The following is a 21,737-nucleotide window of genomic DNA, read 5'->3' as shown; positions in this document are numbered from 1 at the left end:
CTCCACGTGGTCATCTCCTAGGTTGCAATCCCAGTAGTCACCAATTAGTCCCTCTGCCATTGCACACTTGCTAGTCATTATGTGTTGTGGTGCTGTCCTGAGGAGGTCATTTTTGAGACTCTTTCTACACAGGTTGAGACGAGTCCTCTGGAAGATGACTGCATCCTGTGACTTAAGCTAGAAAGGGTGAGGTTGTTCTTTGTGTCAGTCAGCGTACAAGTTTTTGTGTGGACTAGGTTTTCATTTATCTTGGGTATCTGCCCAGGAGTAGCAATCCTGGGTCACATGGCAACTCTATGTTAAACCTTTTGAGGAATTGCCAGAGTGTTTTCCAGAGCTGCTGCACCATTTTATATTCCCACCAGCAGCATATGAGGGTTCTGATTTCTTCATATTCTCACCAACACTTGTTATTGTCTGTCTGTATTATAGCCATCCTGGTGAGTGTGAACTGTTATCTCAGTGTGGCTTTGATTTGTATTTCCCTAATAAGATACTGAGTGTCTTTTCTGTGTTTATCGGCCATTTGTATATCTTCTTTGGAGAAATGTCTATTTCAGTTCTTTGCCCGTTTTTAAAATTGGGTTGTCTTTTTATTGTTGAGTTGCAAGTGATTTTTATATACTCATGCTATGAGTCATGTATCACAGGAGTCCCCAACCCCTAGGCCATGGACCAGTAGTGGTCCAGGAACCAGGCCGCACAGCAGGAGGTGAGTGGTGGGCAAGTGAGCAAGGCTTCATCTGTATTTACAGCCGCTCCCCACTGCTCAAATTACTGCCTAAGCTCTGCCTCCTGTCAAATCAGCAGTGGCATTAGATTCTCATAGGAGCACAAATCTTACTGTGAACTGCACATGCGACACTTTCCTTATAAGACTCTAATGCCTGATGATCTGTCACTGTCTCCCATCACCCCCAGATAGGACCATCTAGTTGCAGGAAAACAAGCTCAGGGCTCCCACTGATTCTACATTATGGTGAGTTGTATAATGATTTAATTGTATATTACAATGTAATAATAATAGAAATAAAGTATATAATAAATATAAAGTGCTTGAATCATGCTGAAACCATTCCCCCGTCACCCTGGTCCGTGGAAAAATTGTCTTCCATCAAACTGATCTCTGGTGCCAAAAAGTTTGGAGACTGCTGATGTATCAGATAGGTGATTTGAAAATATTTTTTCCCATTCTGTGGGTTGCCCTTTCACTTTCTTGATGGTTTGAAGCATAAAAACTTTAAATTTTAATGAAGTTCAATTTATTTTTAACTTGGTGGCTTGTGCTTTTGGCATTGTATTTGGTGGCTTGTGCTTTTGGCATTGTATTTGGCTTGTGCCTAATCCAAAGGTCACAAAGATTTGTTGCCATGTTTTCTTCTGAGAGTTTTATAGTTTTAGCCCTTACATTTAAGTCTTTAATGCATTTTGAGTTAATTTTTGTATATTATGAGGTAGTGGTCCAGCTTCATTTTTTTCCATGTAGATATCCATTTGTCCCAGCACCTTTGATTATAAGACTATTCTTTTCCTCATTGAATTGTTTTGGCACGGTTGTCAAAAATCAATTGACTGTCAATGTGAAAGTCAGTTTTGTTTCATTGATCAGTATGTCTGTCTTTATGCCAGTATCACGCTGTCTGTATTACTTTATCTTCTAGTAAGTTTTAAAATTTAGAAGTGTGATTATTCCAGCTTTGTTCATCTTCTTCAAGATCGTTTGGGTATTCTGGATCCCTAGATATTATATATGAATTTAAGGAACAGCTCATGAATTTCTGCAGAGAAGCCATGCAGGATCTTCATAATGATTACATTGAATCTGTAGATGAATTTGAGGAGTGTTGCCATCTTAAAAAGTGTTTTGATCCATTATCTCAAGATGTCTTTCCATTTATTAAGATCTTTAATTTCTTTCAATAATGTTTTTTCATTTACCGAGTATGAATTTTATACTTCTCTTGTTAAATTTATTCCTAAATATTTTATGCCATTATAGTGGAATCGTTTTCTTAATTTATTTTTCAGATTGTTCATTGCAAATATATACAAATACAATTGAGTTTTGTATATTGAAATTGGACCCTGCAACCTGAACTCATTTATTCTAATAGTTTTTAAGTGAATTTCTTAGGATTTTCTGTATACAAGATTGTGTCATCTGCAGATAGCATTCATTCTGGATGCTTTTATCTTTCTTGCCTATTGCCCTGGCTAGAACCTTCAGTACAATGCTGAATAGAAGTGGCAAGAGCAGACACCCTTGTCTTCCTGATCTTAGGGGAAACGCATTCAGTCTTTCACCATAAAGTGTGGTATGAGCTATGGAATTTTTATCAGGTTGAGGATGTTCACTTCTATTTGTAGTTTGAGTGTTTTTATCATAACCACTTGCTAGTATTTAGTTGAGGATTTTTGAATCTATGTTCATAAGAGATACTGGGCTGTAGTTTGGTTTTTAGTGATTTCTTTGGTTTTGGTATCAGAGTAACACTGGCCTCATAGAATGGAATTGGGAAGTGTTCCTTCTAATTTTTGGAAGAATTTGTAAAGAGTAGATACTGTTTAAATTTTTGGTAAGCGGTGGAGTGGTTTTAAAGTGTGTATTTCCATTTCATGCCCAGTAAGAGTAATGTAGAACCATCTACATATATTGATCAACTGCTCTATGCAGTGACTTCTGCTTGGTACTTCACATGCGTCATCTCATTCAATGATGAGAAACTCTGTGAAGTGGGTTTCCTCTTTCTTTTTTTTTTTTTTTGAGATGATTTCTTGATCTGTTGCCAGGCTGGAGTGCTGTGGCACGATCTCAGCTCGCTGCAACCTCTGACTCCCTGGTTCAAGTGATTCACCTGCTTCGGCCTCCCAAGTAGCTGGGATTACAGGCACGCACCACCACGCCCAACTAATTTTTGTATTTTTAGTAGAGACGGGGTGTCAGCATGTTGGCCAGGATCATCTCGATCTCCTGACCTCGTTATCTGCCCACCTCAGTCTCTCAAAATGCTGGGATTGCAGGTGTGAGCCACGCACGGTACCTGGCCGGGTTTCCATTTTATAGAGGGGGAAACAGGTTTATAGAGCCCAGGATCTGTGTGGCTGTGAAACTTGTTGTCTTTGCCATATACCACACTTAGGATGTGATCACAAGAGATTATTCTGTGGGGAATGGTGACGGATCAGCCAGCCGTGGGGGAAGGGAGATCTCAGGTCTGGAAGCCTGAATTTTGAGGGGCCACTGGCATGTGTTCCTCATTCTCTCCCTGCCTGTTTTTTGCAATGCTCAGCTATGTCCTCATCCATGTCACAAAGGCAGGGATGTGATTTTAGTAGGGAAAATTACTTGACAGCCTCCTGCAGAATGAATCTGTAGGGGATCCAAGCGCAAAGGTGAATCAATTGCAATTTAGCCCCCATGTTATAAAAGACCCTTTCCCATCCTCCTCTATACCAACTAATGATTTCAAATTCTCTTAGAACACAGCTGAATTGTTACTTTTTAAAAACCCATACAAATAGTTGCTCTAATAATAAATAGCAAAAACATTTTTTAAGAACTTTCTTCGCACTTTTTTTTTTTTTTTTTTGAGACGGAGTCTCACTGTCTCCCAGGCTGGAGTACAGTGGCGCGATCTCGGCTCACTGCAAGCTCTTCTTCCTGGAGTTCACGCCATTCTCCTGCCTCAGCCTCCCGAGTAGCTGGGACTACAGGCACCCAACACCATGCCTGGCTAATTTTTTGTATTTTTAGTAGAGATGGGATTTCACCGTGTTAGCCAGGATGGTCTCGATCACTTGACCTCATGATCTGCCTGCCTCAGCCTCCCAAAGTGCTGGGATTACAGGTGTGAGCCACTGCGCCTGGCCTCTTCACACTTTTAATTCTTACTCCTCTTTGAGTAGACTACAATTTTTGTTTAATTAGTATTTTTTCTTTTATACCTTTTTTTTCTGGTAATAGTCACCTTATTTTGGTTTTGTCAACATCATCAGAAGTCCAGCACTAGATTAGACAGTTGAGTGTCAATAGCAAGTTATCTCTTTTCCAGAATTTGAACTGTGCTGGTCCAATAAGACAGGTAAAGCAAGTGGGTTGAAGACCAGAGATCATTTGTTCATTGTGAGATTTTGGCCTTCCTAAGACCAGGTTTGAGAGCCCAAAATTTAGCAAGACAGGCAAACAAATACAAAAACATGAAAGCTGATGTGGACCCAATCCCTGTTGGACTGAACAAAAGGGGATGAATGTGGGAATAAAGACAAAGACAAAAGAGTATATTTGGAAGAAGGGGTTGGGGGCTCCTTGCTTCCAGTAAACAAGGGCCCTGAGCTTTTAGCTCCCTTCGTATTTATTGAGTAAAAGAGATAGGGAGAAGGGTGTGGTTGTCAGTCAGCAACTTGACTCGGTGCAGGCTTGCACAGCTGCATTCTCTGAACAGTAGTCTCCAGATGTGCCAGTAGATAACCTTAAGGAGCATGGTGCCAGGGAGTGATTGCACTCAGCAAACCTTCTGGTGGCAGGTGCAGATGTGAGTTTGCCCACATCCTGCATTCATGATAAACAGTTTGCTATTGGATCATGTAGCCTCAGTGGAATGCTGACTTGGTCACGATCCACAGGCCTTCAGCTCTCTACAGAAAGCCTGTTATCTTTGCAAGTTCCTCAACAAGGCATGTGAGCTTGTGATAGACTTTTCATGATGTGTTTGTGGACATTAGATGACCATAAATAGTGCTGAGCTCATCTGTCTTGTTTTAATGGGATTTTTCTTTCAGTACACAATTTTTCCTTGAAAACAAAAGAAGCTTTAACCAAATCAATTTTCTTAAAAAGAGCATTTACATGTATCCAGTTAAAATTCAAATCCCACAAGAGGAGCCTCTCCTCTTCCCAGCATCATGAGACATTTTTCCCCTATTGCTCTCTTCCAGCGAGTTGCAGACCTGGAGCAAGAAAATGCTCTCTTGAAAGATGAGAAAGAACAGCTCAACAACCAAATCCTGTGCCAGTCTAAAGGTAAGTACCAAAGCACTTGAGTTTTATTTGGGGTTTTAATCTCTTTTCCTCACTGACTTCTCCCAAAGACTCCTAGCAAGCATGCAGTTAGACTAGAGGCTACAGTGGGGAAAGGATTTTAATAGAAGAAGATGAAGAATAATGACCTTTAAGATCCCACTAGGACATTTGGCCTCAAGAGTGTAAAGAGGTGAGACACGTATAATGGGCAACATTGTACATGAGACTTGGAGTCAGGGAGGCCCGCACTTGAAGCATGATTCTGCCGTGTGCTTCTGTATGGCCTTGAATAGGCTTTCAGTTTGTTCATCTACTACATGGACATAAAGGTCCAGACATCGGGGGGCTCATGGGAGGAATGAGGAAGAGGCTGCACGTGAAGTGCTTAGGAGGGTGCATGACACTCAGCGAGCGCTCAGGAGCTGTCGTCATTGCTGGGTTTCACATTTGTCTTTCATGTCCATCCACGCATCATGGTTTCTTCTACCCAGTGGGTCATCTGTTAATGTTTACTGAAGAAACAGTCTTGAATCAGATCCCAGGTCAGCCTCTCTCAAGTGCCCACCAGCTCCTGGGCTGCCATCAGTCCCCATGTGCCACTCGGCTGTGGAGGAGCAGGGAGAGTCCACAGACCCCAGTTTCTGCTTCAACTCACTGTGATTTTGAGCAAATCCCCTTCTCCCATACTCAGGTTCCTCATTCATGTCACAAGAGGATGGAACCACATGACCTCACAGTCCCACCCAATATCACATCTTTTTGAAAATGTGAACTGTTTTCAAATGTCCTTTTAAAACACTTTTCTGTCCGTTAATGTGAATAAGTTTTGGCAGGGAAGTAGCCCATCCTTCTCTATTTGCCTTCTTTCCTTTTACCCCAGTCGCCTTTAATCTCCCTGCACTCCTAAGAACTGAAAGATCAGGACTAGGAAAGGAGTGTGGAATAAGCCTTCATTCTTCCAGGAATGCTGCCAGCAGTTGCTGTGACAGTTGGCAGAAGAGAGGCTGGGGCATCAACTGAGGGAATTCTCACCTACGCTGCCAACTTCTCTCTCCCCATTCCCTGAGAGCAGGGTCTTTCTCTCCCTCTCTGAAGACTAAGCCAGAGTAATGAGACTCACCTTTGCTCTGCAGTAGGTGAGGAGCGTAATAGATTCATCAAGAGCCTCTGATGAGCTCGTCATGGGCAGCCTCTTAACAAGAGATTAATCGGAAAACATGAGTCAATACATGTGAGGGAATCCATCCAGAAAAACTGCAGCTTAGCGTGTTGCTTTCCAGATGAATTTGCCCAGAACTCTGTGAAGGAAAATCTCATGAAGAAAGAACTGGAGGAGGAGCGATCCCGGTACCAGAACCTTGTGAAGGAATATTCACAGTTGGAGCAGAGATACGACAACCTTCGGGATGAAATGACCATCATAAAGGCAAGGGGGGTGCTTCTGCTGTGCCATGGCACAGGTCCCTGGCTCCTGTCCAGCTTCTGACCACGTGATCTCAGGCACTGCTTTCTGATATGTGATGCTCAGTCCATGTGTCATATGTGCAGCACTTGCCATTACTGCAGAGAGGCAAAGGTAGCTGGACTGGGTGATTCATTCCTACTGACAGCTCCTTTTCCAACTTTGGGGTCATGAAGATCTCAGTTATGAGTTTAAGGAACATTCTACCCAAGTGTGTTATCTTTCCTGTTTCCTGTTACGGGAACATTCCTGTGTTGAGTCAGTAATGGGGTGTGGGAGTTCTCAGCTTCATTAGTGTGTGTGTGGCAGAGAGACCCACAAGGGCCTGATTGTGTCTCCTAATCTGATGAGATGCAGTATACATAGAGACAATTTTATGATATTTTAGGATCTGTCATTCTTTTTTACCCCATGTAAACATTTCCTCCAGAAATGAGTATTCAAACAAGATGGAGTAAGTTAATTGCATAGAAGCCAGGAAAGAAAAGCTGAATAGGAACATCCAGAGAAGTCTAAAATTGTCCTACCAAGCTCAATTTTCACACTGACAGCCAAATCAGATGCAGGAAAAAAAAAAGTATTTTTAAATGAACAGTATAAATGGTAAACTATTTTTAATATGCTACTATTTTCATAAAATTTGAGGAGTGCAGGTTGAAGGGAGGGGCCATTCTGGGCAGGTGTGGAACATTCCTTTCAAGGGAGAAGTGGGTAATGTGACTGCCTTTGTGCATTTCAAGAGCAAGACTGGGAGGGAAAGGTTTTTCCAGGACTTCTCGGAGAAATTGACCCAAGTGTTAGGAATTTGCGTTTCATTAAGAGATGAAAAGTGGATGACTACAGTAAGAACTGTAGGTGAAATGTTTCATAGGGCTAGCTTTATTTAGCCATCATTCCAAGAAGCAATGATACCTATTCTTGTTGACAAATTAGGCAGAAGGATAACTCTAGGGCCTGCCACCATGGGAGGTAAATTCTCATGAACATTAGTTCCTAATGAGCTATCACGTTTTTCTTGTTGAACAGCAAACTCCAGGTCATAGGCGGAACCCATCAAACCAAAGTAGCTTAGAATCTGACTCCAATTACCCCTCCATCTCCACATCTGAGATCGGAGACACTGAGGATGCCCTCCAGCAGGTGGAGGTGAGTGATGCAGGCTCTTGGGTACTGTCCTCCTCCAGAGGGAGTGTGTGTTTTTTTCTGTGTGGAACTGTCCAAGAGAAATTTACTCTTCTGCTGATGGTGACCAGAGTGCCCAGGGGCTAATTCTCAAGAGCAGGATCACTTGGACTACAGTGGATTTAGAGACAGTTCTCTGGAGTTAACACTTACTGTGTAAAGCAATACATTATTGTTCACCTTACACCCTATCCAGAAAGGAAAGAAGAAGGTGGATCTCTGATTCCTCTTGAAAAACCAAGAAGCTGATGCAGAGAGGTGAAATAGGTGGTTTAGGAAGGAACAGCTAAGTCATTAAAATAGATACAACTTATCCCCACTTAATATCATAGTGCATATAGTAATATCAATAAACAAACAAGAAAATTGCCCCCTCACTTAGAAGCTGGATAAAACTCAGAACAACAAAAAATATTTGGAATGAAAGTATGCTGGGTGACTGTATCTTTGTTGGTAATAGCCTCTTAGTCAGTCACTAAATATACCACACAGTGGACTGTGTGGTCTTTGTATAATTTTGTCAAAGGTACAAAAGATACAATTTTTCCTCTGGCATTTGAAAAGAAAATCACAGGCACATGCGCGCGTGTGTGTGCGCGCACGTACACACAGAACCTTGTAAAGTATGTGGAAATAACATGGAGGAGAGACAGAATAAAAACAAATGGGTTTGGAGCAGTTCTTTGTGCAGGATCTGCTGGTCAGTGCTAGAGAAACAGTGGTGACTGAGCCGGAGAAGTCCTTGCCCTCATCTGACAGAGAGCTAGTCAGTGAGCAGTTAGGGAAGAAACATGTGATATGATTGCAGGTCCTGCTAAGTGCTATAAAGAAAAATAAGAGACCATCAGCAATAGAGAATGCTGGAGCAGAGGGTGGAGGGAGAGAAGGAGGTCCCCAGAACTGAAGGTCTCCTCTCTGTTGTGCGGTTCTGCGTGGCTTGCTGCCTGCCAGACGCACTTAGTAAGCCTTGCATAACTGCTGGCTTGAGATGCTTGGCTTTGCATTGCGGTCTTTTAAGTCTAGGCCCTTGGAGGTTTCAGTCAGCCTCAACTCCAGGCTTATCACCCTGGTGTTTGTATGTGTGACTATCTACATGTAGACATAAGCATTGTCATCACTGGTTTTATGTTCTTTAAGGAAGCCAAGACTGGTCCAGTGCTGGTTAAACATGAAGCCTTGGTGGAACCAGTGCTTATTAAATCCTGGTGGAACCAAATTATATTGTCTCACATGTACATACATGTGCTTAAAAATCCACATGGATGTGCTCATACACATTACCCATTCACAGGCAGATAGACGTGTTTGTACACCCCTATCCCCACGCATTGGAGTCCTGGAGGGCAAACTCAGGCATGAATCCAAAAGGAACAAAATCTGGGAAATAGATGCTTTAAGATCTGTTGGATAAATAGGTTCCGGGGCAGAGCAAGCATTGATTCCATTTCAAGATGCAATCAAGTGATGGCTGACAGCACATTGCAGTGATTGGTAACCATGTTGATTCCTCATCAGGAAGTGCTATGTCCCAAGTTCTATAGTTTCTCTGGTGTGAGACCATTTTCCAGAAGTGAGCTCTTTTAACTTCCAAAGAAAGTGCCTGTGTTTTTATCCATTTGTTCTTGGAATATATGGTTGGTCATTTTAAGTGGCTCACACAGGAGGAATATAAATGGCTGAGACTCAGATGTTATCTGGACAGAAAATGAGCCTGGAGCACCAACTGTGATATGAGAAATGTTAGTTGGTTGTCATTGGCTTTGTATTTGAGATGCAAATTGATGTTTGGGAGGAGAGAGGAGACAGATGGCTGATATAGAGGGAGGCAGTGAAGTGCTGTGTGTTCCCTAAGGCATGTATTTAGGAAAACCTTTTTTCTGTGCCTGTCTTCCTTTGAAGGAAATTGGCCTGGAGAAGGCAGCCATGGACATGACGGTCTTCCTGAAGCTGCAGAAGAGAGTACGGGAGCTGGAGCAGGAGAGGAAAAAGCTGCAAGTGCAGCTGGAGAAGAGAGAACAGCAGGACAGCAAGAAAGTCCAGGTACGTGAAGGGGCTGCAGTGCTCTTATGGTGCTTGGATGAGAGAACAATCTAGCTCTTGTGTCCAGGGCTCATGTGGCATGTGTGACCACATGGGATTGTGCTCCTGCTAAGTCTCAGAGGGCTCCTACTTAGTGCATTGGAGTCATGCTGAGTCTTCTCTGAGTGCCCCTACACCGCCCAGCTGAACAGGAGTAAGCTCCCTCATGCCCCGGGTTTCTGTTGGTGAAGCTAGGGGGAAGTCTGTGGCATCATCACCTACTTGCAAAGAGGGGAGCTCCCTGCCAGGAGGACCAGGGTGTGTAATAAGAGTGTAAATACAGCAGAAGTCAAATGTACACAGAGATGACCTATCGCCCTTTCATACCTGGGATCTTGCATGGGCTTGGGTTCAGCCTTTTTGGGTCAGAGGCAGACCAAGTGTGTGTCACTCACTTTCCTCTCTCATGGCTGCACCCTTGCCTCAGTCCAGATTATCAGCAGCCTCTTGGGTCTAGAAAGGATATTGTTTGAAATCTTAGTAGCCCCAAAAGTAATCATTCCATCTCAAGGAACTACTGGGCACCCATGCTGCATTCAGAACTATGCCAGTGCCAGGCACGTAGTAGGTACACAAAATGTTCATTAAAGGACAGCAGATAACAATATAAGAGAAATTCCCAGCCATTGAGGAATTTAAATGTTATGAGGAATTTAGATGTTACGTCTGGGAGAACCAGACATAACACAGGTGAAAAGTAAAAAATAACATTGGTAGCACTTAAATAAATGCAAGTTGAGTGCAAACAGGTTGGTGCCATAGGAGTAGAGAATCCATTGACTATAGCAGTGCTAAGGAGGAAAGAACCATTTATTTCTTTGGAGATAGAAGGACCACTTCTAAAGGGTACAAGGCCAATTCTGCCATGGGTTATATCATCAGCTGAACTCATAGTGGGTTTGAAAAAGGCCTTTGGTATGTTCTCAGGCCTGAATTATTAATTGTGGAGTTTGACACCTACCCCATGTTCTCAATCCCTACCCCTTCCCTCACTTCTGTGTCCAGTCATTTTTTGCAACACCTGTATTCCCTTTGCAATCAATTGTGATACAGATTCTGATCTATATTGCTGGCAAATTCTTGTTTTTTTTCCCCCTGAGCAGTAAGTGGGGAGGTAAATCTTGCCGATGGGTTTAAATCTCTCAGGTGGACTTGATTCAGAATGGAAAGTGAAAAGATTAGGTTTCTAAATGACTCATTGAATTAGAAGGAAAGCTGCCCTGACAGGCAAGTGCAAATCAAATCTATGAAAAGCTACACAGATGACATCAGACGGTGCCTGATGTACAAGTTCTTGGCCTATCCAGCTGTACCTAAAGATTCATTCTCCAGGCTCCCCATTGCAGACATGCCAGCTAATTTTGGAATCTTGGCTTTAGAACTTCTCTGGATACCAAATAAAAAAGGGTATCTTTTTCCTCCAAAATAACCACTGAACAATAGTTAGAACTCTAGGCCTGGGCCATAGCTCTGTCATGTATATTAAGGATCTCTCTTTAGGGAGAATGGCCTTGTTTCTGACAGTTTAAGGAAGGAAAGGCAGGTGTGGGTTGGGAGAGGGTATGGGATCCCTCTACAGCACCCTGAAATGGAGCTTTTGGAGGTCAAGTTCTTGGATTCGCTTTTGGTCCAAAGAGGGATCCTGAACTACCTGGGTCTTCATTCTGGAGAGAGATGGCTCAGGTCTCAACTGCAGAGAGAGGCCATGCACTGAGTGAGGAATGGCAGGGAAGCCCATGGGATGTACCATCAGTATGGAAGTGACTGAGGCGCTGTGAGGGTGGGGCCTCTATGACAGTCTACAGTCAGTGCATTTGACCTCCCACCCAGCCACCTCCCTTTCTCAAGCCTGGCAAAGTCACCTTGGCCAATAGGGTGATTCCTATGGGCTTCCCACTTACGAACGTGACTGCCAGCCCATCTTAATAGAGCCCCTTGAGTCTGAGTAGGTGACCTCCACTTTCTGAGAATGTAATGTACTCAATATCATCCACGGACACATGGCAAATCCATGCTACATAGAACACAAGTACAGAACTCTCACCGGAGCAGCAGGTTGAATGCAGACCCTGGACAGCCACAGCCTCCTATACCACTGGTGGTGGTGGAGGCAAAACAGACACTGGTACCTTGGAGGGGTTTTAAGCCCAGATTGCAGGGCTGGAAACAGTGCGGTAACTGTAGGCATCCTTCAGCTGGGAGGAGTACAGGAGATGCTCAGATCCTGTTCCTGTCTCCAAGCCTGGGGCACGCTAGTGCATCCACAGTGGGAGGACTTAACACTGCTAGCTAGCACGTAGGTAATCTCATTAAGTGATCTGTCCATTTTTACCTCCAAAAATCCATCTTAATCAGGGACTAACACCCACTACTTGAAATTACTCCAAGTAGTTAACCATTTATGAAGCTGTTTCTACCCCTTCTCATTGGCCATTTAAGTCAAATAGCAGCTAAATAACTGAGGAATTATTTGCTCAGCTGAATCCTAGTGAGTTGTTATTCCAGAAATTGCCATAGACAAGCACTAGCTTTGGAGTTCTGATGTCAGACAGCATTACAGAGTGTTGTGGGCCATCTCTACTACCTGCGGTAGTGTCATGGAGGAAGCAGCTCTCTGCAAGGTGCTTAGAGTTTAGTTGGGAAACAACACACTGGGGAGCTTTCCTCCCTCATAAATTGGAACGTAACTTGTTAGCCTTGTTACTAGAGACGTAGTTTTACAGTGTGTGTTAGCTTCCTAGGGCTGCTGAAACAAAACACCACAAACTGGATGACAAAACAACAAAAATTCATTCTCTCAGAGTTCTGGAGGCCAGAAGTCAGAAATCAAGGTGTTGACAGCCCGTCTTCTCTTGAAGGCTTTAAGGGAGAATTTGCTTCATGCCTTTCTCTCAACTTCCCATGTTTTTGGCCATCGTGGTGTTCCCTGCCTGGCAGCTGCGTGACTTTAGCTTCTGCCTCCATCTTCACATGGTCATCTTCCCTGTGTCGTCTTCCGACTGGATTAGTGTCCACCCAAATGACCCCAGCTTAACTTGATTACATCTGCAAAGACCCTATTTGCAAATAAGGTCACATTCACAGTTTCTAGGGGTGAGGACTTCAGAATATCATTTGGGGGGGCAAAATTCAAGCCATAACACAGTGCTATACATATTCAACCTATAAGTGCCTGTGGGGACCATGTGAGTGAAAGTGGGGGTGGGGACAGGAGGGAGGTGTTGATGGAACACTTCATGGTAGGCTGGAGTGTTGAGCTGCACTTTGAAGGTGGGAAGGAAGTGGACTTGTGGAGGGTGGGGGTGTTGGGTATTCACGCACAGGCAGGATGAGCAAGTTTGACCACAGTTGGAAACACCTCTGTGGAATATCTTGCTCGAGGTCTGCACTTATCTTTGTGTCTCTATCCATGCAGGCGGAACCACCACAGACTGACATAGATTTGGACCCGAATGCAGATCTGGCCTACAATAGTCTGAAGGTAAGATTCTTGGGGGACAGGCTTCCTGGAACACTCCCCTGGCAGAGGGCAGATGACAAATCTGGGCATCAGGAAATCAGGCCCTGAGCCCCAGTCTGCTAACAAGGAGAGCAGTAAGCAGGTAGCTTCCCTTTTCCATGCTGTAGTTTCTTAACCTTTGGAATGAAGAAAAATTTGTATCTACTACAGGAATGATAATAAATACATAACCTACCCAATATAATTTCAGTTAAAATATGGCCACTAAAAATCACTTAGGAAAAAAATCAAGGCTTGCATGGGTAGACATAGGGCAGAGGGATCTGCCAGTGTGTCCTCTGCTGGCATGCAGGGAGACAGGGCGGTAGAACAGTGGGAGGTGAGTGGGTCCCATGGCAGGGAGGAATGCACAGAAAAGGGGCTTCCGAACAGGCCCACCCCATTCCCATCCTCAAAGACGTGGTAATGTGGGAATTTAGCCTATCTGCCAGTCACTTACAGGACTACAAATAACTCTGGCTGGTTGGTCTGAAGGTAGTGAGTTATTTCAATGGACTGTTCACAGTCTGTTACAGATCGAACTCCTTGTTCTATTCCTTCCCCTGTCTTACTGCTGCACTTGACTTGTCAAAAAATAAATAACTTGTCAAAAAATAAATAACTCTGGTAACAGCTACATTGCCCAGGAGAACAGTCTTGAATCATTCCCATGGCTTATTTCTAATTTTTTAAAGTGTGGTAAAATACACAAAAAATTTACCATCATAATTAACCCTTTTTAAGTGTATAGTTCAATGGTATTAAATACACTCATAATGTTATGCTAGCATCTCACCAGCACTTATCTCCATAACTCTTTTCATCTTTTAAAACTGAAGCCCGTACCCATTAACAACTTCCCAGTTCCTCCTCCCCCAACCTCTGGCAACCACAATTGTACTTTCTGTCTTTCTGCATTAGACAATTCTAGGTTCCTCATGTAAGTAGAATCGTATAGTATTTGTTTTTTGTAATTGGCTTATTTCACTTAACATTTGTGTCCTGATGGTTGATCTCTATTGTAGTATGTGTCCATCTTCTTTTAAAACTGTGTCCCATTGTGTGTATAGGGATCACACTTTGCTTATCCATTTGTTAGACATCTAGGTTGCTTCTCTGTTTTGGCTATTGTGAATAATGCTGTACTGAACATGGATATACAAGTATCTCTTTGAGACCCTGCTTTCAGTTCTTTTAGGTATATACCCCAAAGTGGAGTTGCTGAATCATGTGGCCATCCTATTATTAATTTTTGGAGGAACTGCTATACTGTTTTCCATAGCAGCTGCACCATTTTACATTCCCACCAGCAGTGCACAAGGATTCCAGTTTCTCCACATCCTTGCCAACACGTAGTATTTTCTTTTCTTTTATTTATTTATTTATTTTTTTGATAGTAGCTATTCTGATAGGTGTAAGGTGATATCTCATTGTAGTTTTGACTTGCATTTTCCTGATAGTAATACTGAGCATCTTCTCATGTGTTGATTGGCCATTTCTATGTAGTCTTTGAAGAATGTCTTTTCAGTCTTCTGACCATTTCTGAATTATGCTGTTTGGGGTTTTGTGTTGAGTTTTAGGAGTTCTCTACATATTCTAGATATTAATCCCTTATCAGATACATGATTGGCAAATAGTTTCTCCCATTCTGTGGGTCATCTTTTTATTCTGATAGTGTCTTTTGGTGTACAAAATGTTTAAATTTTCATGAAGTCCAATTTGTCTATATTGTTGCCTGTGCCTTTGGTGTCATGTTTAAGAAATCATCAAATCTGATGTCATAAGGCTTTTGCCCTATGTTTTCTTCTGAGAGTTTTACAATTTTAGGTCTTACATTTAGGCCTTTGATCCACTTTGAGTTAATCTTTGTTGAAGATGTGAGGTAAGGGCCCAACTTAATTCTTTTGCTGTGGATGTCCGGTTTCCCAGCACCATTTGACTTTTTAAACAACCAGGGCCACACAGATGGCATAGGAGGGTGTGTCATAGAGATCTCCTTCTGGAGTTATTGATTAGACTTACTTTCCTCATGTGATATTCTAAAGATTCAAAACCCTCCAAGGAGCCTGGGAGTCTTTCAGTGGGATAAATGCCTGCAGCAAGGGGACTTCTGCATGCTAACCTTCACCCGCCTTTCCCAAGGGAGGCTTAGTGCCTGGGGATGAAAATGAGCATGTGAACTATTATAGGTAGCACTTTCGGGGCATCAATCCTACCCACCCTTTTAGAAGTAATGAGAGGGGCCCAGTAGCTCCCCAGCAGTAGATGTGGGACTGATGGCATCAGCATCACTGAGCTTGCTGGAAATGTAGATTCTCAGGTACCCCACCCCCGAGACCTGCTGAATCAGAAGGCTGGGATAGGGCCCACCCATCTGTCTTTTAACAAGCCCTGCAAGGGATTCTGTTGCCCACTCAAGTCTGAGAACCACTGTACTACCCTACGCATGAAACTGCCTCCCGGACTCCTGCATTAAAATCAGCGCAAAAACTCCTCCTCTCATTTAGCTGTCCTTGAGGAAGATGCCCCTTCTTGATTTTACAGGCCTCGTCTCCACTGCCAAGCATGGGGCCTGGCACAGAGAGGGCGCAATAAACATTTGTCTTAAACTGCCATAAGTCTAAATAGCTGCTCCACTCTGCTGCTGTTGACTTAGGCCAGGATTCTGAGGATGTGAGACCTGGTTTTCCCAGCATTGTCTCTGATGAAATGATTTTACTTGTGGGCCTTGTCACAGAGGCTGGTCCCGGGGACCCCTGGGGTTAAAATTACCCATGTAAGGAAGCACTCATGTTGAAGAGGCTGGCTTGGGTGCTTCTCAACCAGGCCCAGCCCAGACATTCAGGGGACTTTATTACCACTTACTAGTATTTTTTATAATAATGGAAATTGGGCTTTTAGGCAGAACACGGTCAGCTTATATTTAGTGAGCTCCCGCTGTGCACATCCCTCCTGAATGCTCTGAAGTGTGCAAAGGGATGGGAAGTGTACTGTGCCCTCCAAAATTATAGACTCTACCTGAGCAGGTAAGTCAAAGCACTAAGATGATGAGTCGATACACCTGGCCACTCAGCTGCCTCTTGCAACCTGATCCTTAGCCAGTTGGATTTGAAAAAGCTGCCCACAGGTACATGCACAAGATGAGGCTACTCTAGGAAGACACCTTGACAAGTAGTGATTTTTTGCTTAAACCCTTTTACCAGAATTTTAGAAATTTCTGCTGATCCTTCTGGAATGCAAAAATTAACTGCAGCTCTCGGCAGAAGCACATTGACTACGTACCCTGCACAAGGCTTAGGTGCCCCCATTTGGGGTAAGGTCATGTAGAAGGGTTCTCAGGGCCAGTCACTCCTGCAGAGCATTGTCTCCGGAGGCCTGAGTAGGGTGGATGGAAGATGGGTCTCCCTGCAGTGACTGTTAGCCCCGGCCAGTGTGCAAAAGCAGAGGAGAATGAGTGGTAGGGATGGTGAGGGCAGGAAGGGTGGCTCTAGGGGAAGCTCACCATTCCCTGGTGCCTGAGACAGGCCTGGTAGCCAAAAGGAGCCATGACTGTGCTGACCTGGAAGCTGGCTGGGCAGACAGACCCTGCTTACGGCCAGCAGCAGTGTTGGTTTTTCTTTATCGACCTGCTATCAGCCAGAGCTGGATTCAAATCAGGAGATGGTACCCACTGACTCAGAGTTTGTGCAAGAATGATAGAGAACTAAGAGTCCAGCTTGGCACTTAAACACTTTTCACCTCAACTGACTATCCAGCCATTGGCTTATCCAATGTTGAACGTGCATCAGAAAAGACTCAGTTGAGAAGATCCTTCGAGTGTTTTTTTTTCTCCTTAATGTGTCCTTTTTATAGACATTTTTCATTTTATTTGTAAATTTATTAAAGTAATTCTGTTCATCTTAGAAAAATTTTAAAATACAAGAAAATCTAGAGAATTTTTAAAAAATCCATATTCCTGCCACTTAAAGGCAGTCTCTGATATTATTTGGATATTTATTTCTAATGCTTTTTATATGCATATTTATATAGTTGTTATATATATAATTTTTCTGCTTTTTTTCTCACTATAACGAGCATTTTTCTACATGTCTTTGTAAACATGATTTCCATGGTTGATTAAAATTTTATGACATGATTATCACAATTATCCATTCTCTAACTGATGAATATACTCTCATGTTTTACTTTTATAAATAATCCTGTGATGAAACTAGGCTTTTTCTGAGAGAGAACTGGACTGTCCATTTTATTAAAATTCCTCATAATTTTAAAACAAGCTGTATCCATTACTGTTTACTGTGGCTAGATTTGTGAGAGCCATTTTCACAACTTTAGCTTGTTTTATGGAACACGGATCAGTTTTACTGGCTTAAAATCTTACAGAGTTATAGAATGGTGGTATAGTGTTGACTATATATAGAATTTCAATGAACCCTTATTCAAAATTGTGCCGCCTCCAGTGGTAACGCTCATCCCGTGTGAAATATCTACTTTGTAGTGGTCATCCTCATAGAGTGCTTTCCAGGGATGGACTGACGTTTAAGAAATAGACACCCAAACTCTCTACAGAAAGGTTTCCTGCCCAGTCCAATGTCCAGCTAACCTAGGGCTACCCAGGGACAGGAAATCGGAAGCATGCGGTGTGCAGGGCCCAGCCTCAGCACACTCTCCCGGGGCGGTTTCACCCCCACCCACCCACACATCCTCCCAAGACTTCAGTCCTCACCAACATACTGATCCATCTCTAGCCCATAATTCCAACTGCTCACTGCGCCGTGGGGACTACAGCTGCACACATCTGAACCCTGAAACCCCATCTTGTCTCAATAGATGACACACGTCACCCAAGCATCTAGACTTTCTTCCCACTCACTTCCCACATCCAAGCAGTCTCCAGGTCTTGACAGTTCCACCTCCTAAATCTCTGTATCTCATTCACATCTCCCTCTGCTCCCTGCCATGGGCCATGCCACGTTATACTCCAGCCAGGTGGCCCATCTCCCCATGCAAACCAGGGAAACCCTTCTGAAGCTCTGCGATGACCAGCTCACTGCTTTTTCCTGGATCCAGCTTCCTTCCCTGGATTTTGGAATCTCTTGACCCCCACCAGCTCTGCTCTGTCTTCTGCATGACAGCATTTCCCCGGCAAGTCCTGCTTGTTCTTCTCTGAGGCCTTTGTACCTGGAGGCCTCTTGTCTGCCTTTTTCACATAGCTAGCTGCTCCTGTCCTTTAGCTGTCAGACCTGTTCCCTCCCCTTACCCTCTGGCCCTACCCCTCTGAGTCAGTGGATGGCATTCTTCTGTGTTCCCCAGTCACTCTGGATTCACTCATGTCATAGTGTGTTCCAGGCTGCAGTGCCATGATCTGTACTTTAGTGTAATTGATAGGTTCTAAGCAGGTGTTGTGCCTGCAGCACCTAGCACAGTGCCTGGCCTGAAGAAGGCAGATGATGAAGATTGGTGGGAGGCAGGGCCGGGGAATGGGACTCCCTTATTCTCCAACTGGAATGGCATAGCATTTGGGTGCACAAAAATATGTCTTTCACACAAATTCGTCTGTTTCCATTTATATGAGGTACCTAGAAGGTTCAAACTCAGAGACAGAAAGTAGAATGATGGTTGCAGCAGATGAGGAGCGGGGATGGGGAGTTAGTGTTTCATAGGGACAGAGTTTCAGCTGGAAAAGGTGAAAAAGTTCTCGAGATGGATGGTGGGGATGGTTGCACAACATAAATGGACTTAATGTCACTGAACTGTGCACGTAAAAATAGGTAAGATGAGGTCGGGCGTGGCGGCTCATGCCTGTAATCCCAGCACTTTGGGAGGCCGAGGTGGGCGGATCACGAGGTCAGGAGATCGAGACCATCCTGACTAACATGGTGAAACCCCATCTCTACTAGAAAAAAAAAAAAATTAGCCAGGCGTGGTGGTGGGCGCCTGTAGTCCCAGCTACTCGGGAGGCTGAAGCAGGAGAATGGCGTGAACCTGGGAGGCGGAGCTTGCAGTGAGCCGAGATCACGCCAATGCACTCCAGCCTGGGCGACAGAGCGAAACTACATCTCAAAAAATAAAAATAGGTTAGATGGCTAATTTTGTGTTTTATATTTTTTACCACAATAAAGCATGCATATTCTTTTGGCACTGTTGACCAGAAAGGATGATGAGGGAATGGTAGTGAACCTGTGGGGGAGGAGAGGGGAGTGGAGAGGAGAGGTTATGTGTGGGGGACCAGTGAGGTATGGTTAGGGGAGATGGTGTCCAGGAATGGTTAGAGAATGGGATAAATAGAAATGTCACAGATGTGCCCTGGGTAGAAATCCTTGAAAAACAGCCAGAGCTTTCAACCAACCTGGCTCTGTCTTGAGGCACAATCTCACAGCTGAGTAGGGCCTGGCGTGGCTGTCAGCACAGGCACACAGCCAACAGCTGTCACCGAGCTCAGTTCTGGCCTGTCACAGCTGGAGGAAACCTTAGCCACCAGCTGTTCTCACTCCCTTAAGCCACACCTGAGGAGGCTAAGGTTCCAGGACTGTGCAGTGTGCACCTTGAGCCAGGAGGGGACCCAGGGCTGCCTCCACACCCAGTGCTCCTCTAGCATGTGACACTGGCTCTCCTGAGGATGGCCTTGGCTGCCAGAAGATCACCCAGGCACTGAGGGGATCCTTAACTCCTGAACTTAGTAAATAGACTCACCATAGGCTTGGTGACTCATCAATGATCATTATTAATCACCTTATTTTGGGGCCCTCATCATGTCTGCAGAGTTACTATCTCTATGCATGGTTCTAAATCTTCTGGAAATCACCACATATATGGTGGAGTCACAGGGGCGCCCTGGACCAGGAGTCAGGAGCCCTGGCCCTCTGTCCTGGGTCAGTCTCTAAACTTGCTGTGAGCCTTCCCCTCCCTGGGCTCAGCTTCCTCACTCAGCAAATCAAGAGATTCATTCTCCCCAGCGGTCCCCTGGTTCCATCATGCTATGGCTCTGTAACAAACATGCAACCAATGCATACTCATCCACATCTTTGGGTTTCCTTTGGGAAATTTTGAATCTCATGTATCCCAGGGTCCTGCCGGCAGTTTGTGTGTGATCATCAGACTTCATCTCAAACACAAAGTTAAATGTACTATCCAGAAAATATGAAGTATGTTCCAAAGTTGAGTTCCTATAGCACATTCAATTCTGTATGTAGGTATTTTTCCTCTGCTGACAGGGACAGTTGGTGGCTTTCTATATGACCAAAACAACAAAACTGTGTCCCTGGTGTATCTTCCAAGTCTAATTAGTCCGGGACAAAAATGATGCTTCCTGAAAAATAGGGAGCAACGGGTTCTCTGGGCAAATAAGTTTAGGAAATCCTGCATTCTTGTATCTTTTCTTGGAAAGTCACAAAGCGTGTGAACATATTTAGATTGTAGGAATTCTTATGTTTACTATATGTCATTTAAAATTGTGAGCCCAGCATTTCCACAAGGAGGAGTTTCACAGCCAAACATGTTTAGCAACACGAACACTGTTGAATCACTTTGGAGACTGCCGCTCTGGAGGCATTGTGCAGGTGCTTCACACTTGTGACTTGAAGTCATGAGTTCACATCCAGGCCCCAGCTTTGACTGCTTGCTGATGGCAGTCAGAACTTTCCATGTGTGTCAACGTTTAAAGAGCGAAGTTTCCCAGTGGACAAAAGAAGGGGAGGAGGGGAGGCCCACACAGGGAGAGAGCCCTAGGGCAGGGAGTAATGGCAGCGGCCCTTGGGCTGTCTTCCAGAGGCAAGAGCTGGAGTCAGAGAACAAAAAGCTGAAGAATGACCTGAATGAGCTGAGGAAAGCCGTGGCCGACCAAGCCACGCAGAATAACTCCAGCCACGGCTCCCCAGATAGCTACAGCCTCCTGCTGAACCAGCTCAAGCTGGCCCACGAGGAGCTCGAGGTGCGCAAGGAGGAGGTGCTCATCCTCAGGACCCAGATCGTGAGCGCCGACCAGCGGCGACTCGCCGGCAGGAACGCGGTAACAAGATGGCGGCCCGCGGTGGGGCTGCCGAGGGGTGACCCTAGGTGGTAGATTAGTGTTTTTTTAATTATCTTTACCCACGAGGGTCTAAAACCTGAAAGAGCAGAGTCTCTCGCTGTGGGGTCTCCTCCAAAAAGGCAGAGCAAAAGCCTTGCTGCCCTGTCAGCATGACCTTCCCTGGGGGATGCAGCTACAAGCTTCTGGACTCTTCTGAAGTTAATATGAAGATGTTTAATAGGTAACCTCAGGGTGGCCTTTTCACCTTATACCCCTTGCTGTTTGCTTTCTGAAGTGGAGAGAGTCATTGGTCCTCCTCAGTCCCCCAGGGTGGCAAGTCCTATTCACTGTATTTTCCTAATGTTCTCACTTTCTGGGGCAGACTAGAGCCAGAGGGTGGGGACAGAGGCCACGTGGGTCACTCCATGGGCTCTAAAAACCTGAGCCACTTCTGGGCATGAGCCTCGGGACAGCTGGGGTAAGCAGG

The 21,737-nt window shown here is 44.4% G+C and overlaps 1 protein-coding gene across 1 annotated transcript in view, besides 1 other annotated feature; it reads left to right on the top strand.

Annotated features, from left to right (window-relative positions):
- The window catches only part of MYO5B (myosin VB), a 372,359-nt gene that overhangs the window by 309,757 nt on the left and 40,865 nt on the right, over nt 1-21,737 (top strand). The window contains exons 23-28 of the mRNA NM_001080467.3: nt 4,936-5,020; nt 6,301-6,446; nt 7,509-7,628; nt 9,564-9,704; nt 13,159-13,224; nt 21,011-21,250. Coding sequence (NP_001073936.1) covers nt 4,936-5,020; nt 6,301-6,446; nt 7,509-7,628; nt 9,564-9,704; nt 13,159-13,224; nt 21,011-21,250 — 798 coding nt within the window. The remainder of the gene's footprint in view (nt 1-4,935; nt 5,021-6,300; nt 6,447-7,508; nt 7,629-9,563; nt 9,705-13,158; nt 13,225-21,010; nt 21,251-21,737) is intronic.
- Nucleotides 4,975-6,174: an enhancer, noted in NCBI's record as "CDK7 strongly-dependent group 2 enhancer chr18:47405587-47406786 (GRCh37/hg19 assembly coordinates)". NCBI's record gives its function as "activates an origin of replication core promoter dependent on BRD2, BRD4, P300/CBP, MED14 and CDK7 cofactors, with strong dependence on CDK7, by STARR-seq in HCT116 cells {active_cell/tissue: HCT116}" and the evidence as "EXISTENCE:reporter gene assay evidence [ECO:0000049][PMID:35650434]".

Source organism: Homo sapiens, chromosome 18 (assembly GCF_000001405.40).
Source record: "Homo sapiens chromosome 18, GRCh38.p14 Primary Assembly".
Taxonomy (NCBI): Eukaryota; Metazoa; Chordata; class Mammalia; order Primates; family Hominidae; genus Homo; species Homo sapiens.
The sequence above is the reverse complement of the archived record's forward strand: the minus strand, read 5'-3'. Positions and strand labels throughout refer to the sequence as shown.